General features: G+C 44.3%; 1 long non-coding RNA gene and 1 other non-coding gene across 2 annotated transcripts in view; one reads left to right on the top strand and one right to left on the bottom strand.

Moving 5' to 3' along the window:
- LOC124901011 (uncharacterized) overlaps window positions 1-16,784 on the top strand; it is a 52,477-nt gene that overhangs the window by 14,914 nt on the left and 20,779 nt on the right. The window lies entirely within an intron of this gene.
- On the bottom strand, window positions 37-168 carry LOC124900205 (small nucleolar RNA SNORA18). Its single transcript, XR_007059155.1, has one exon. It is a non-coding gene; the product is annotated as a small nucleolar RNA SNORA18 (small nucleolar RNA).

Below are 16,784 nucleotides of genomic sequence, written 5' to 3'. Positions count from 1 at the left end.
TAAAAGATACATTATTAGGTCTTTCATAATTTTAGCAACTGTCTTGTAGTTCCTTCCCACAGACCTAACTAATAGTCCTGTGAGTAAAGCAAAACCACAGAGTTAGTCTATGAGGAGTTTCCAACAACATGCAGCTACAGGAAAAGCCCCATTGGAATAGACCTCCACCAATAATAATATTATCTATAATAGTAAAAATCTGGAAACAACCTCAATCTCCATCATATAGTAATCAATAAATGTATATAGGATAGTCCCTACAATAAAAAAATACAGAAAAAATGAATGAACTAATATGACGTCTGTGAAAAACTAAATTTACCATCTTTCAACATGATTAATTCTCAGAAACATGATGTTAAGTGACCAAAAAAAAAAAAAAAAAGAGAACAACCACAAACAGAAAAAAGCATGTAGGCAGGGCATGGTGGCTCATGCCTGTAATATCAGCACTGTTGGGGGCGCTGAGGAGGGAGGATCCCTTGAACTGAGGAGTTTGAGACCAGCCTGGGAAACACAGGGAGACCCCATCTCAAGAAAAAAGAGGTATATATGTTACTTCTATAAAATTTTAAAACATTTGAAGTACAACTATATATTGTTTATAGATCAAAAATATGTAGGAAAAGTATAAAAATATTCATAGAAATTTTAAACACTGAGGCTGGGCGTAGTGGCTCAAGCCTGTAATCCCAGCACTTTGGAAGGCAGAGGTGTGCGGATCATGAGGTCAGGAGTTTGCGACCAACCTGGCCAACATGGTGAAACCCCATCTCTACTAAAAATACAAAAAAATTAGCCGGGTGTGTTGGCGCGCACCTGTAATCCCAGCTACTCGGGAGGCTGAGGCAGGAGAATCATTTCAACCTGGGAGGTGAAGTTTGCAGTGAGCTGAGATCATGCCACTGTACTCCAGCCTGGGCGCCTGCCTCAGCCTCCCAAAGTGCTGGGATTACAGGCGTGAGCCACCATGCCTGGCCAAAAAGAAATTTTAAACACTGAATTCCTCATAGTGTCTACAAAGGAAGGGTGAGGACTAGGCTCAGGGTAAGGGATTCAGGGGGCCACAACTATATCTGTAAGTGTTGTTTCTTTAAAAACAAAATCTGTATTTGGGGAAAGAGAAAGAAAAAAAAAATAAAATCTGAATTAATACAGCACTACATAGCACAATGATAATAGATGATGAAGTTGGGTGTTGAGTACCTCAGTATTCATTATAATATTTATTGCATTTTAAAAGTACTCCATTATAAAATTAATAATTAAAAAACAGATCGGAGTGGTGGCTCACGCCTGTAATCCCAGCACTTTGGAAGGGCGAGGCGCGCAGATCACCTGAGGTGAGGAGTTTGAGACCAGTCTAGCCGACGTGGTGAAACCCTGTCTCTACTAAATAAATATTAGGCGGGTGTGATGGTGGACGCCTGTAATCCCAGCTACTCGGGAAGCTGATGTAGGGAGAATTGCTTCAATCCAGGAGGAGGAGGTTGCAGTGAGCTAAGATCCCGCCACTGTGCTCCAGCCGGGGTGACAGAGCGAGACTCCGTCTCAAAAAACAAACAAACAAAACACCAATCAACCAAACAAAAAAAAAAAAAACAAGGCGCGGGTGTGGTGGGTCACACTTGTAATCCTAGCACTTTGGGAGTCCAGGGCGAGCAAATTGCTTGAGCCCAGGTGTTTGAGACTAGCCTGGGCAACATGGCAAAACCCAGTCCCTATTAAAAACAAAAACAAACAAAAAAAAAACAAGCGGCTATTAAAACAAAATTAATTACAGCTACATTTGTTAACATGGACGTGGCCAGGCGTGGTGGCTCATGCCTGTAATCCCAGCATTTTGGGAGGCCGAGGCGGGCAGATCACCGGAAGTCGGGAGTGCGAGACCAGCCTGACCAAAATGGAGAAACCCTGCCTCTACTAAAAATACAAAATTAGCTGGGCGTGGTGGTGCATGCCTGTAATACCAGCTACTCGGGAGGCTAAGGCAGGAGAATCGCTTGAATCCGGGAGGCAGAAGTTGTGGTGAGCCGAGATGGCACCATTGCACTCCAGCCTGAGCAACAAGAGTGAAAAAAAAAAAAAAAACAAACACCTGGACGTATTTCAAAAGCAATGTTACATGAAAAAAAAAGTTGCAGTATGGTATATACATTATGATGCTATTTCTTTCAGTTTTAAAAATAAAATGATAATATTATTTATGGATCTATATTTGTATGGAGACTTACATGGTAAAAATATTTTTCTTTCTTTTTTTTTATTTTTGGGACAGGGCCTCTGTCACCCAGGCTAGAGTGTAGTGGATATGATCATAGCTCACTGCAGCCTCAACCACCTGGCCTCAAATGGTCCTCCCATCTCAGCCTCCTGGAGCAGTTGGGACTACAGGCACACACCAGCATGCCTGGCTAATTTTTTTTTTGTTTGTTTTTGAGATGGTTTCTTATTCTGTTGCCCAGGCTGGAGTGCAAAGGCTTGATCTTGGCCCACTGCAACCTCTGCCTCCCAGGTTCAAGTGATTCTCCTGCCTCAGCCTCCTGAGTAGCTGAGACAACAGGCACCCACCACCACGCCTGACTAATTTTTGTATTTTTTTTTTTTTCTTGAGACGGAGTCTCGCTCTGCTTCCCAGGCTGGAGTGCAGTGGCACCATCTCGGCTCACTGCAAGCTCCGCCTCCCAGGTTCGCGCCATTCTCCTGCCTCAGCCTCCCGAGTAGCTGGGACTACAGGTGCCCGCCACCACGCCCGGCTAATTTTTTGTATTTTTAGTAGAGATGGGGTTTCACCATGTTAGCCAGGATGGTCTCGATCTCCTGACCTCGTGATCTGCCCACCTCGGCCTCCCAAAGTGCTGGGATTACAGGCGTGAGCCACCACACCTGGCCTAATTTTTGTATCTTTAGTAGAGACAGGGTTTCACCATGTTGGCCAGGTGTGATTTTTTTTATTTTTATTTTTATTTTTGTATAAACAGGGGTGTCATCATTTTGCCTAGGCTGGTCTCACTCTTGGGCTCAAGGGATTCTTCTACCTTGGCCTCCCAAAGTGCTGGGGTTACAGGCATGAGCCACTGTGCCCAGCCCTCTCTCTCTCTCTCTCTCTCTCTTTTTGTGATTGCAAAAGAGTTAAGGGTTGCATGAATAAACTTTCTTTCCTGCAAAAATACTTCCAAATTAAAGGGCACGACACACACCAAGATCCAAATCGTTTTTCCTCTGAGAAGCAAGGGAAATGAATAGGATTGAGGAGGGATGCGAAAGAGATTTCCAAATATTTACATTGGTTAAATCTGGATATTGAGTATATGGGTGTTTATTATATTACCCTTTGTGCTTCTTGGTATGTTTGAGATTGTTCTTATTTTTAAATAAATTAACCCTTCCATTCTGCATGGTATTTCCCTTTGGTGGTAATGCGACTAACCACATAAGTATATCCTGTCACTTGGTTGGCATAAAAAGGGAAGGCTGGGCACAGTGGATCACACCTGTAATCCCAGCACTTTGGGAGGCCAAGGCAAGAGGATCTCGAGGTCAGGAGTTCAAGACCAGCCTGACCAACATGGTGAAACCCCGTCTCTACTAAAAATACAAAAATTAGCCAGGCATGGTGGTGCCCGCCTGTAATTCAGCTACTCAGGAGGCTGACGTAGGAGAATCGCTTGAACCCTGGAGGTGGAGGTTGCAGTGAGCCGAGATCGTGCCATTGCACTCCAGCCTGGGTGACAGAGCGAGACTTCATCTCAAAAAACAACAACAGCAACAACAACAGAAACGGAAAAGATGTCCTCTATCAATCTGCCATTTCCTTTTGTTCTGGTATACCCATTGCTGCACCCATTTTTTTCAATGACTGATTTGATATCATTAGTTAAAAACTACTCCCTGAAGGCTTATGCTCCCTCTTATGTCTGTGGGTGTGAAACTGCATTGCTGTCTTGGGAGAACAGTGGAGTACTAGGCACCGGCAATTAAGAGAATAAGCTCGATAGTTGATTCCACTACACCCGGGCCCTAGATGTTCCCCACAAAGGCTGAGGCGGTGGATCACTTGAGGTCAGGAGTTCGAGACCAGCCTGGCCAACATGCTAAAACCCCGTCTCTATTAAAAACACAAAAATTAGCCAGGCATGGTGGCACATGGCTGTAATCCCAGCTACTCAGGAGGCTGAGGCAGGAGAATTGCCTGAACCTGGGAGGCAGAGGTTGCAGTGAGCCGCGATGGCGCCACTGCACTGTAGCCTGGGCAACAGAACGACACCCCATCTCAAAAAAAAAAAAAAAAAAAAACCAGCCTAGGCAAGATGGTGAAACCCCATCTCTTAAAAAAAAAATCCAAATTTAGTCTATAACTATAACCTTTCGTGTGTGTGTGTTATTTTTTTAGACAAGGTTACACTGGAGTGCAGTGGTACAATCACAGCTCACTGCAGCCTTGACCTCCTGGGCCTAAGTGATCCTCCTTGGGCCCAGGCATGCACTACCATGCCAGGCTAATTTTTTTTTTTAATTTTTTTAAAGACAGGGTCTCAAGCTCCTGGGCTCAAGTGATCCTCCTGCCTTGACCTCCCAAAGTGCTGGAATTACAGGTGTGAGCCACCTCGCCTGGCCAGTACTCCATATGTTATTCTCTGATCTTTGTTAATTCACATATCCGTTTTGCATAGCTGCCATCTGTATGTGAAGGGCCAAGGGAAGACTTCCCCTTTGCCCTTGAAGGTTTGCTGAAATCAGCTGACAAAAGTCAGATTAGTAGGAGAAAAGACATAACACAATTTTATTTTAATGTGCATAGCATGGAATTGCAGATTGAGTACCCAGTAACCCAACCCCGAGTACAGAAGCTTACATACTCTTTTTTAAAAAACATTAAAATAGAGACAGGGTCTCGCTATGTTGCCCATGCTGGTCTCGAACTCCTGGACTCAGGGGATGCTTCCACCTCTTCCTCCCAGAGTGCTCAGATTACAGGTGTGAGCCACCAGGCAGGCCTACATCCTCTTTTTCAAAAGGGCGAGGGGAGATAGGGAATGTAGACAATTCATTTGAGAGGCGGAAAATGATTTGTTTTTTTTATTTGTTCAGACAGAGTCTTGCTTGCTGTGTTGCCCAGGCTGGAGTGCAGTGGCACCATCTTGGCTCACTGCAACCTCCACCTCCCCAGTTCAAGCGATTCTCATGCCTCAGCCTCCCAAGTAGCTGGGATTATAGGCACATGCCATCACGCCTGGCTAATTTTTTTGTATTTTTAGTAGAGACAGGGTTTCATCATGTTGGCCAGGCTGGTCTCAAACTCCTGACCTCAGGTGATCCTCCAAAGTGCTGGGATTACAAGCATGAGCCACTGTGCCTAGTCATGCCACTGAGGGTTTTTTTCTATTTTTATTTAATTTAATTTTTTGAGATGGGTGTCTCACTATGTTGCCTAGTCTAGTCTCGAACTCCTGAGATCAAGTGATCCACCCGCCTTGGCCTCCCAATGTGCTGGGATTACAGACACGAGCCACAGTGCCTGACCAAATGATTATTAGGGAGAATAAATACATAGGAATTAACTTCTAATGATCCTCTTTGTGAAAAAGTCCCTCCAGGTGTGGTTGCATTTCTGTCTTTTCTGAGATAGATACTGAGATTTCAGCGAGGGGAGGAAGGCAATTGTGTTTTTTGTTTTGTTTTGTTTTTGTTTTTGTTTTTGAGACGGAGTTTCACTCTTGTCGCCCAGGCTGGAGTGCAGTGGTGCGATCTCAGCTCAATGCAACCTCTGCCTCCCGGGTTCAAGCGATTTTCCTGCCTCAGCCTCCTGAGTAGCTGGGATTACAGTCGCCTGCCATCACGACTGACTAATTTACTTATTTATTTATGTTTTGTATTTTTAGTAGAGATGAGATTTCACCACGTTGGTGAGGCTGGTCTGGAACTCCTGACCTCAGGTGATCCACCCACCTCAGCCTCCCAAAGCAGTGGGATTACAGGCATGAGCCACCGTGCCCAGCCTTTTTTTTTTTTTTTTTTTTTTTTGAGATGGAGTCTTGCTCTGTCTCCCAGGCTGGAGTGCAATGGCATGATCTCAGCTCACTGCAACCTCCGCCTCCAGGGTTCAAGTGATTCTCCTGCCTCAGCCTCCCGAGTAGCTGGGATTACAGGTACATGCCATCACGCCCTGCTAATTTTTGTATTTTTAGTACAGACAGGGTTTCAGCATGTTGGCCAGGCTGGTCTCAAACTCCTGACCTCAAGTGATCCACCTGCCTTGGCTTCCCAAAGTGCTGGGATTACAGGCGTGAGCCACCGCACCCGGCCCCCAGTTGTGTTTCTTTTGGAAAGAAGCTCTCTTGATCAGATAGGGAAATTCCAGAGAGAGTCCAGGCAAGGTTTAAGGGACCTTGATTCTGAGGCAGCTTCTAAGCCTTCTCAGCATGTCAAAGCACAGTCTTTAGGGTATCTCTTTCTGAGGATTACCACCTACATAAGGATTTTGATGTCTTTTTATTAAACTTCAGCTACCACTTCTGTGTGTCCACCTAGTTCATGCACTAGTCAGTGTTTCATAGTTTTCTATCTTGACAATGTACCAGTTTGCTCAGCCTTACTTCTATTGTTGAACTTTTGAGATTTTTCCAATTTTCCAGTTTTATAAATAGCATTTCTATGACCATCTTTGTACACACTACTTCTTTTCTTTCTGGTCATTTCCTTGAGCTTAATCCTACAAGTGGAATTAGTGGGCTAAAGGGTATGAATAATTTTAGAACTCTAAATACATATTCCAATATTACATCAATTTACCTTTGACCCAACAATATTGAGTTTGCTTGTTTTCATATATTTCAAAAAAATGTAATAGACATATAATGGTTATTAAAAGTTTCTTAATTCAAAATTTTCCCAGGCTGGAGTGCAATGGCACCATCTCGGCTCACTGCAACCTCCACCTCTTGGGTTCAAGCAATTCTCCTGCCTCAGCCTCCAGAGTAGCTGGGATTACAAATGCATGCCACCACGCCCAGCTAATTTTTGTATTTTTAGTAAAGACAGGATTTTGCCATGTTGGCCAGGCTGGTCTCAAACTCCTGATCTCAGGTGATCCTCCTGCCTCAGCCTCCCAAAGTGCTGTGATTACAGGCGTAAGCCACTGCACCCGGCCCTTTTTGTCTGATTATTAAAAATAATACTCATTTTGGAAAAAAAAAACTCAAGTAAGTGAAAGTGCCCTGGAAACCTCCACCCGGCCAAAAGGTGACATGTTGCCATTTGGCTTACAGTCTTTCACTTATTTCATATACCTGGATAGTTTCGTTCTTTTGTTGTTGTTGTTGTTGTTTTGCTTTTTTGAGACGGAGTCTGACTCTGTCACCCAGGTTGGAATGAAGTAACGCAATCTTGGCTCACTGCAACCTCTGTTTCCCAGGTTCAAGCAATTCTCCTGCCTCAGCCTCCCCAGTAACTGGGATTACAGGTGCGTGCCACCACGACCAGCTGATTTTTTGTATTTTTAGTAGAGGTGGGGTTTCACCATGTTGGTCAGGCTGGTCTTAACTCCTGACCTCAAGCAATCTACCTGCTTTGACCTCCCAAAGTGCTGGAATTACAGGCATGAGCCACTGCGTCTGGGTCTGTCGCCCAGGCTGGAGTGCAGTGGCCCGATCTCGGCTCACTGCAAACTCTGCCCCCCAGGTCCACGCCATTCTCCTGCCTCAGCCTCCCGAGTAGCTGGGACTACAGGCACCCGCCATCACGCCCGGCTATTTTTTTTGTATTGTTAGTAGAGACAGGGTTTCACTGTGTTATCCAGGATGGTCTTGATCTCCTGACCTCGTGATCCACCCACCTCGGCCTCCCAAAGTGCTGGGATTACAGGCGTGAGCCACCTCACCTGGCCAAAACATTTGGAAGTTCTTTAGAAACCCACCCAATCGGCCGAGTGTGGTGGCTCACGCCTGTAATCCCAGCACTTTGGGAGGCCAGTGCTGGTGGATCACTTGAGGTCAGGAGTTTGAGACCAGCCTGGCCAACATAGTGAAACCCCGTCTCTACTAAAAATACAAAAATTAGCCAGCATCATGGTGCACGCCTGTAGTCCCAGCTACTCGGGAGGCTGAGGCAGGAGAATCACTTGAACCCTGGAGGCAGAGGTTGCAGTGAACTGAGATCATGCCATTGTACTCCAGCCTGGGTGACAGAGCAAGACTCTGTCTCAAAAAAAAAAAAAAAAAACTAAACTAAAAAACAAAGAAACCCAACCCACCCAATTAATATAGCCTGTGTGTTTGCTATTCTTCACTCTTGCCTTAGATTATCCCTTTTCTCTCTGAATCTATAACCCTAACCTCTTTACCAGCTCTTTTTCCTGAAACTTCCAAAATAATCCAATCTCCTTAAAGCTTTACCTACTACCATTGACCTTTCAGCTGCAAGTTCTTTTTTTTTTTTTTCTTCACAGTCCACTCTAAACCACAGCAGCAGTTCAGAACACTATGCTGGACTGTACCCCAGATGATTTAAATCAGGATCTTAAAGAATAGGGCCCAGGAATCTACACTTTAAAAAGTGCCCTGAGTGATTCTAGTTGTAGGTAGGGTTGAAAAGCCACCGAGTTATTCTGATTTCTAGAATGATTGATCTATACCTGCTTGTTTCTACTTTTTTACAAATCACTTTCTTCTTAATTCCCTACAAATTGGACTCTGAGTCTTCTGATTTTTTTTGAAACCCATAACTTCCCTTGGATCTAATTCAACAGTATTCAGTCCTGAGAGTGGGTGGTACATCTAGAAGTTGGCCTTTCTGCCTCTGATGTACTTTCAGTGTTAATTTACAAGTTTCATATTTGGTTGTTTCAGAGTTTTATGTTTGCTAGTGTATGATTTTTCTTTTATTTATTTATTTTTTTGAGATGGAGTCTCATTTGGTCGCCCAGGGTGGAGTGCAGTGGCACCGTGTCGACTCACTGCAACCTCTGTCTCCTGAGTTCAAGCAATTCTCCTGCCTCAGCCTCCCAAGTAGCTGTGATTACAGGAACCCATCACCATGCCTGGTTAATTTTTATAGAGATGGGGTTTCATCATATTGGCCAGGCTGGTCTCGAATTCCTGACCTCAGATGATTTGCCCGCCTCAGCCTCCCAAAGTGCTTGGATTACAGGCGTGAGCCACTGCGCCTGACATCTTTTTTTTTCTTTCTTTTTTTTTTTTTTTTGAGATGGAGTCTTGCTCTGTTACCCAAGCTGGAGTGCAGTGGCACAATCTCGGCTCACTGCAACCTCTGCCTCCCAGGTTCAAGCGATTCTCCTGCCTCAGCCTCCTGAGTAGCTGGGACTACAGGCGCATGCCACCATGCCTGGCTAATTTTTGTATTTTTAGTAGAGACAGGGTTTCACTATGTTGGCCAGGCTGGTCTCGAACTCCTGACCTCATGATCCACCCGCCTCAGCCTCCCATAGTGCTGGGATTACAGGCATGAGCCACCGCGCCTGGCCTCTCTCTTTTTTTTTTTTTTTAAACGGACTCTTGTTCCGTCGCCCAGGCTGGAGGGTAGTGGTGCAACCTCTACTCACTGCGACCTCTGCCTCCCTGGCTTAAACCATCCTCACACCTCAGCCTCCTAAGTAGCTAGGACTACAGGTGCATGCCATCATGCCCAGCTAACTTTTGTATTTTTAGTACAGACAAGGTTTTGCCATGTTGCCCAGGCTGATCTCGAATTCCTGAGCTCAAGAGATCTGCCTGCGTCAGCCTCCAAAAGAGCTAGGATTACAGGCGTGAGCTACTATACCCAGCCTAGTGTGTATTTATTCCTGTATTGCAAACTGCCCCCAAAATTTATCAGCTTAAAACAATAAAAACCAGGCTGGGGGCAGTGGCTCACGTCTGTAATCCCTGCACTTTGGGAGGCCGAGGCGGGCAGATCACGAGGTCAGGAGATCGAGACCATCCTGGCTAACACGGTGAAACCCCGTCTCTACTAACACAAAAAAATTAGCCGGGCGTGGTGGCGGGTGCCTGTATTCCCAGCTACTTGGGAGGCTAAGGCAGGAGAATAGCATGAACCCAGGAGGCAGAGCTTGCAGTGATCCCGGCCTGGGTGACAGAGCGAGACTCTGTCTCAAAAAAAATAAAAATAAAAATAAAAATAAAACAAACCACTTATTTGTTCTCATGCTGCCATTCAAGCAGGGCTGAGTGGGCCCTGCTAGTCTCTGCTCCATATTATGTTGCCTGGACATGCTTTACTCACACGTCTGCTGCCTCACTTGCCTTCAATGCTCTAACAGAGTAGTTGGACTGTTTTATACAGTGGCTCAAGGGCCCTTGAGAGAAAAAGTGAAAACCACCAGGTTTCTTAATACCCAGGCCTGCAATGGGAAGGGTGCCGTTTTTGCCACATTCTGTGGGTGAGAGCAAGTTCCAGGCCAGCCCAGATTAAAAGAGAGAAGAAATAGACTCCACTCTGGATAGAGAACAGCATATGTGAAGATGGATGGTAGGTTTCAAACAGGGAAAATATACCAGCCACATGGAAGATAATATTTTGAATCATGGATTGAATAAATAGATTAATGGATAAAATGGGACAAAAATATTTTAAAATATACAAATAGTCCTTAGACAAATAAAGATTTAAATCTTTTATATAAGGGAATGTATTATTTGTTATTTATTTATTTATTTGATACAGGGTCTTGCTCTGTTACCCAGGCTAGTGTGCACTGGCGTAATCTTGGCTCACTGCAACCTCTGCTCCCAGGCTCAAGCAATCCTCCCACCTCAGCATCCCCAGTAGCTGGGACCACAGGTGTGCACTGCCATGCTTGGCTAATGTGTGTGGTTTTTTAAAAAAATTTTTATAGAGACAGGATTTCACCATGTTGCCCAGGCTGGTCTCGAACTCCTGGGCTGAAGTGATCTGCCTGCCTCAACCTCCCAAAGTGCTGGGATTATAGGGGTGAGCCACTGCACCCCGCCAACGGAATGTATTTAATAATACAGACTGTATTTCATTTTGCACCAAAAGAGAGGCTGAGGGAAGCGATGGATATGTTACATCAAGACAGACTGTGTGAGGCCAGCCTAGATAGTGGGAAGCTAGGGACACTTCAGCTAGAACAGAAGGATATATCCTTAGCAGGCCCCTAAGTGAGGTAGAACAGAGGTCAGGTCCAGGCAGGTCAGGTCTGAGAGTGCAGAGCAGGGGCAGAAGTCATCAAGGATTGGATGTGCTGCAGGTTCAGGCAACAAGTCTTCATCAGTGAAGTCAGACCCTTGCACTAGAAACCTGGGACAACTGAAGGACAATGATCTGGGGGCTCAGGCCAACAGGAGACAAGATACTGGGAAACCAGCACTAAGCATGGAGATTGACCCTGGGCACACTGCCCTCTGAGCTCCTTCTCCACCCCTAGCCTGGGGCAGCACTGGCCTTAGATGATGTTGGGCCTTAGTCCATAAAAGGAGACAGTGTGGCTGGAGTACAAGAATGAAGAGGCCAGAGGCAGATAGTTCCCAACAGATTGGGCCCAGTGAAAGCCATTATCCTCCCTTTGATCAATAACTCCAAAAAGGATGCCACAATATTTAGACCATCCATTTCAGTGTTTTATCACGCTGCTACAAAGGGCCTTTTGTACAGATACATAGTCTTTGTCTTACAAAGCCCCAAAATATAGGAAATATGCTGAGTTTTCCTAACTGCCTAATGAATAACCATTTGTAATCAACTGTCCATACTGAAAACCCTTAAAGGTATTATGGAACACATTTTATATTTTTATTACCTGCCAAATATAACAATTCCATTTTAGAACTGAATCTAGCCAAAAGCATAAAGTGGGAAGAGTTTCCTGTGATGCTCTTGGCATATCCTTTCTTAACCCTTCTCTCTCTCTCATTTCAGGACTCTATTTTTTTTTTTCTTTTAGAGACTGGATCTTGCTCTTTCGCCCAGGCTGCAGTGCAGTGGCATGATCGGCATGATCACCACTTATTGCAGCCTCGACTTTCTGGGCTCAAGTGATCCTCCCATCTTAGTTACCTGAGTAACTGGGACTACAGGTGCATGCTGCCATGCCTGGCTAAGTTTTTTTTATTTTTTTTGTAGAGACAGGGTCTCACTATGTTGCCCAGGCTGGTCTCAAACTCCTGGGTTCAAGTGATCCTCCTGCCTCAGCCTCCCAAAGTGCTGGGATTACAAACAAGAGTCACTGTGCCTGGTCTCAGGACTTCTGTTTCCTTGCTGGTTCATCTGTTCTCTCTACCCTCTTTTCCAGAAGAAGCACAGCTCTTGGTATAAGCTGGTGATAATTGTTTTTGCCAGAATAACTCAAAATATGATGCAGTAACCAGACTACCAGATGGCCTGCTGTGATCCCCACTTCCTGATATTCACAGCCTTGTCAAATTCCTTCCTACACTGTATGAGGGTTGGTCTGTGTGACCAATAGAGTATGGCAAAAGTATGTTCCTTCCAAGGTTATTAAAGACTAGGGCTTCCTTCCAAGGTTATTAAAGACTGGGGTTCTATCTTGGGTCTCTTTCATTCTATTTTTTTTTTTTTTTTTAGAGATGGTGTCTTGCTACGTTAACCCGGCTGGATTTGAACTTCTGGGCTCAAGGGATCCTTCTTCCTCAGCCTCCTGACTAGTTGGGACTATAGGCACAAGCCACTATGCCCAGGCTTGCAATCTATATTTTTAAGATGCTTATGGGGCAATTGTTACAAACTCTTAAATTTGAGATGTACTGTCGTCGTCGTCTTCTTCTTCTTCTCCTCCTTCTCCTTCTTCTCCTTCTCTTCCTTCCTCCTCCTCCACCTTCTCTTCTCCTTCTTCCTGTCCTTCTTCTCCTCCTTCTCCTTCTTCCTCTTCCTTTTCTTCTTTTTTTTTTTTTTTTTTTTGAGACAGAGTCTTGCTCTGTTGCCCAGGCTGGAGTACAGTGGCACGATCTCAGCTCACTGCAACCTCTGCCCTGCAGGGTTCAAGAGATTCTTCTGCCTCAGCCTCCCAAGTAGCTGGGACTACAGGCGCGTGCCATCACGCCTGGCTAATTTTTTGTATTTTTAGTAGAGACAGGGTTTCACCGTGTTAGCCAGGACGGTCTCAATCTCCTGACCTCATGATTTGCTCACCTCGGCCTCCCAAAGTGTTGGGATTACAGGTGTGAGTCACTGCGCCCAGGCTTTTTTTTTTTTGGAGACAGAATCTTGCTCTGTTGCCCAGGCTGGAGTGCAGTGGTGCAATCTTGGCTCACTGCAACCTCTGCGTCCTGGGCTCAAGTGATTCTCCTGCCTCGGCCTCCCAAGTATCTGGGATTATAGGTGGGTACCACCACACCTGGCTAAGTTTTCGTATTTTTAATAAAGACAGGGTTTCACCATGTTGGCCAGGCTGATCTTGAACTCCTGACCTCAAGTGATCCACCTGCCTCAGCCTCCCAAAATACTGGGATTATGGGCCACTGCACTCGGCCCTACTGACTTACTTTAATTCATTAGTATTACTTCTTCCAAATGTATTTGTATTTTAATTCTAATTTATAAGACGTAAAGCAACAAGTATTATCTGGGGGCTTAAACACTACGTCTAGAGATTCTTGATGCTTTTGGATTCTATACATTATTTCTTCTCTTTTGAGACAAGGTCACACTCTATTGCCCAGGCTGGAGTGTGGAGTGCAGTGGTGCCATCTCTGGTGTACTGCAACCTCGGCCTCCTGGGAGAATCAAGCAATTCTTGTGCTTCAGCCTCCTAAGTAGCTGGGACTACAGGCACGCGCCACCACGCCCAGCTAAATTTTGTATTTTTAGTAGAGACGGGGTTTCACCATGTTGGCCAGGCTGGTCTTAACTCCTGACCTCAAGCAATCTACCTGCCTTGGCCTCCCAAAGTGCTGGGATTACAAAACATTATTTTAAATACTGTTCATGGTATGCTTGAAGCAGTTAAAAGACTGAATGAATACTAGGCAAGTCAAAAATGACTACGATCCAATCCAGTCACTCCTTTTTTTTTTTTTTATTTTGAGACACAGTCTTTCTCTGTCACCCAGGCTGGAGGGAAGTGGTGCGATCTTGGCTCATTGCAGCCTCTGCCTCCTGCGCTCAAGTGATCCTGTCACCTCAGCCTCCCAAATAGCTGTGACTACAGGCACACATTACCACGCCCAGCTAATTCTTGTATTTTTAGTAGAGACAGGGTTTTACCATGTTGCCCAGGCTGATCTCAAACTCTTGGACTCAAGCAATCTGCCCGCACCGGCCTCTGAAAGTGCTGGGATTACAGATGTGAGCCACCGTGCCTGGCTCCAGTCACTCATTTAGTGTATCCTTGTCCACAAAAGTGGATATCCACACAACACACTTCTCCCTTGGTTACACTTTAGCCCTGTGCCACTGTTTGAACAGCACAATTTATTACTCTGTATGTGTTCACTCATAAACTAAAGGGGCCAGATTTATTCATACTCCAGCAAGATTATGCCAAGCTTTGTGCTGGACATGAGTTAGGCCTCACCATTATGCATTCTGGTATATGCTCTGCCTTATGTCAGGCTCTATGCAATGTTCCACTGGTAAAAGATTCAAACTGTTTAGAACCATAGCCCAAACTCAGCATTAGAGATGGTTGTTATATTAGAGTTCTGACACGAAAAAGACTACACATTCAAACTGTGATAATTTAGGAAGAGTTTAATGAAAGGGCTAGAAATGAAGGTGTGAGATAAGTGTAGGGAAACTGCAAGGCATAGTGCAGCACCCAGAGGCTAGTAACTGCACAGCTGTGTTACCACCTCTCATGGCTAAAGGAAGGGATCACTTCCTGGAAATGGAGACGGAGACAGGGGCTGTGTGTAGAGTCACCTTAAAGGAGCTGAGATCTTTGGTAGAGAAAGGTATCCAGCATCCCAACCACACCCTCCCTTCCTCTCATCTCCTGCCAGTGCTTTTCACTGGCCAAGCCCCAACAGGAAACCAGAGGGCAAGAGAGTCTCTTGAAACACTTCATAGAGGTCAGCTTGCTGGAGAAGTGGGGAGAGTGGATGTAGGGGTGGGATGAAGGAAATAGAAGATAGCTGGCACAGCCATCTATCCGTCCATGCATAAAGTTATCAGCATTTTTTAGTTCCAAAATCAACGACCCAAACTCACTAAGATACAGCTTATTTCATAATGGAGAATTTGATGAATGCTTGTTTGCTTTTCCAAACCTCGTGATCACAAATATTACAGTTATAGCCTCTTTCAGGCTGTATATTTTTCAGCAGAGTGTTAATATTTTTATTCTGTTTTAATATGTGACTCTCCTTGTCTATTTTAATTAAAAGTATTTGAGGAAATGGGCTATTAAAAGCTGTATCTATATAAGTAGAGGGCAAACTTACAGGAAGATGAAGGTGTCATAGACACATGGTGTTGAAGAAGGTTCAGAAGTAGAAGTGGGATATCTGGAATAAATGGTCCTTGAGCACACAGGCCTAAGGTGAGTGGAAGGAAAGAATGAACCAGGAGACAAGGAAATGGTAAATAGCTCAAGGTACATTTCTAAATATTTTTGAACACAAGAAACACATGGTTTTATTGACTTACCAAGTCTTCATAGTCACTAAGCATGGTTAGTAGATGTTTTTCTCTTTGCCATTGGGAGGTCGTCAGGGGCTTTATGAGTAAAATTTTAGTATGCAGTATTTATTTACTTTTATGGGCTTTAAACCTCTGAAATGTGGTATGGGTGGAGAGAAGGTACCTCTTTGAAATGAGAATAATAAAATCTGGGATTTGAAGGAGATCTTCCACTAGTATAAGAATCTAATTTACAACATTCTTACCATATAACTTTCCAATCATTTAAAGGAGGCCATTGCTAAGGAGCTCAATGTTTCCTTAGGCATCGTTTCAACTTTGTGCCTGCTCAGTCATTATAAAGCATTTTCTCCTAGAAGCAGAGATACATTTTTACAGCTTCTGCCTATGGGTTCTGGAGAAGAGAAAAAGTAATATTTTCCCTCACCCATTGCCAGGTACATGGCTGAGGTACATATAACAAGAGACAAATTAACAATAGAAAAACATACTAATTTGTTTAATAAAAATTTTATGTGACATGGGAGCCTTCAGAAATGGAGACCCAAACAAAAGGAAAAATCTGTGTATTTTTATACTTAGGTTTGAGGAAGAGTGGACAGTCATGAAGAAATATAATTGGACAAAGAAAGTATGACCTAATAGTAATAAACTAAGGGAAATTTAGCAAGAGCTGTTGGTTCAGATTCTTCTTGACATCTCTGAGTCTTCGAAAATAAGGATGTTTCTTTCCTCTTAATGTAGGGAAGCTACCTTTGTTATGAGTATTTTATGACCAGCTTCAGGCAGAGGAGAAGGACCAGTCAGAGACTTTCCTGCTTCTGCTATTTTCTCAAATACCAAAGTGACATATTTTGGGGTTAATGTTCTCCCCATTCTGCCCATCAGCTCTCCTGCCATTTGGATGGGCTTCTCATTGTCTATTCCCTCTTCTATACGAAAAGGTCTCCTGATAATCTTCTTTCTGTTTCTTCTAGCTTTCTTTTACCCTGGTGAAATAATTAACGCTAATAAGAGATGTGCATAACATTTTATTGGCACACTGTGAACTAGACAGTGGGCTAGACGTTTTATACATTCTATTGCCAGTCTTTACAAAAACATTACAAGATTGGTATTTTCTTTTCTTTTCTTTTTTTTTTTTTTTGAGATGGAGTCTCACTCTGCCACCCAGGCTGGAGTGCAGTAGTGTGATCTTGGCTCACTGC

The sequence above is a fragment of the Homo sapiens genome, chromosome 5 (genome assembly GCF_000001405.40).
Source record: "Homo sapiens chromosome 5, GRCh38.p14 Primary Assembly".
NCBI lineage: Eukaryota > Metazoa > Chordata > Mammalia > Primates > Hominidae > Homo > Homo sapiens.
The sequence above is the reverse complement of the archived record's forward strand: the minus strand, read 5'-3'. Positions and strand labels throughout refer to the sequence as shown.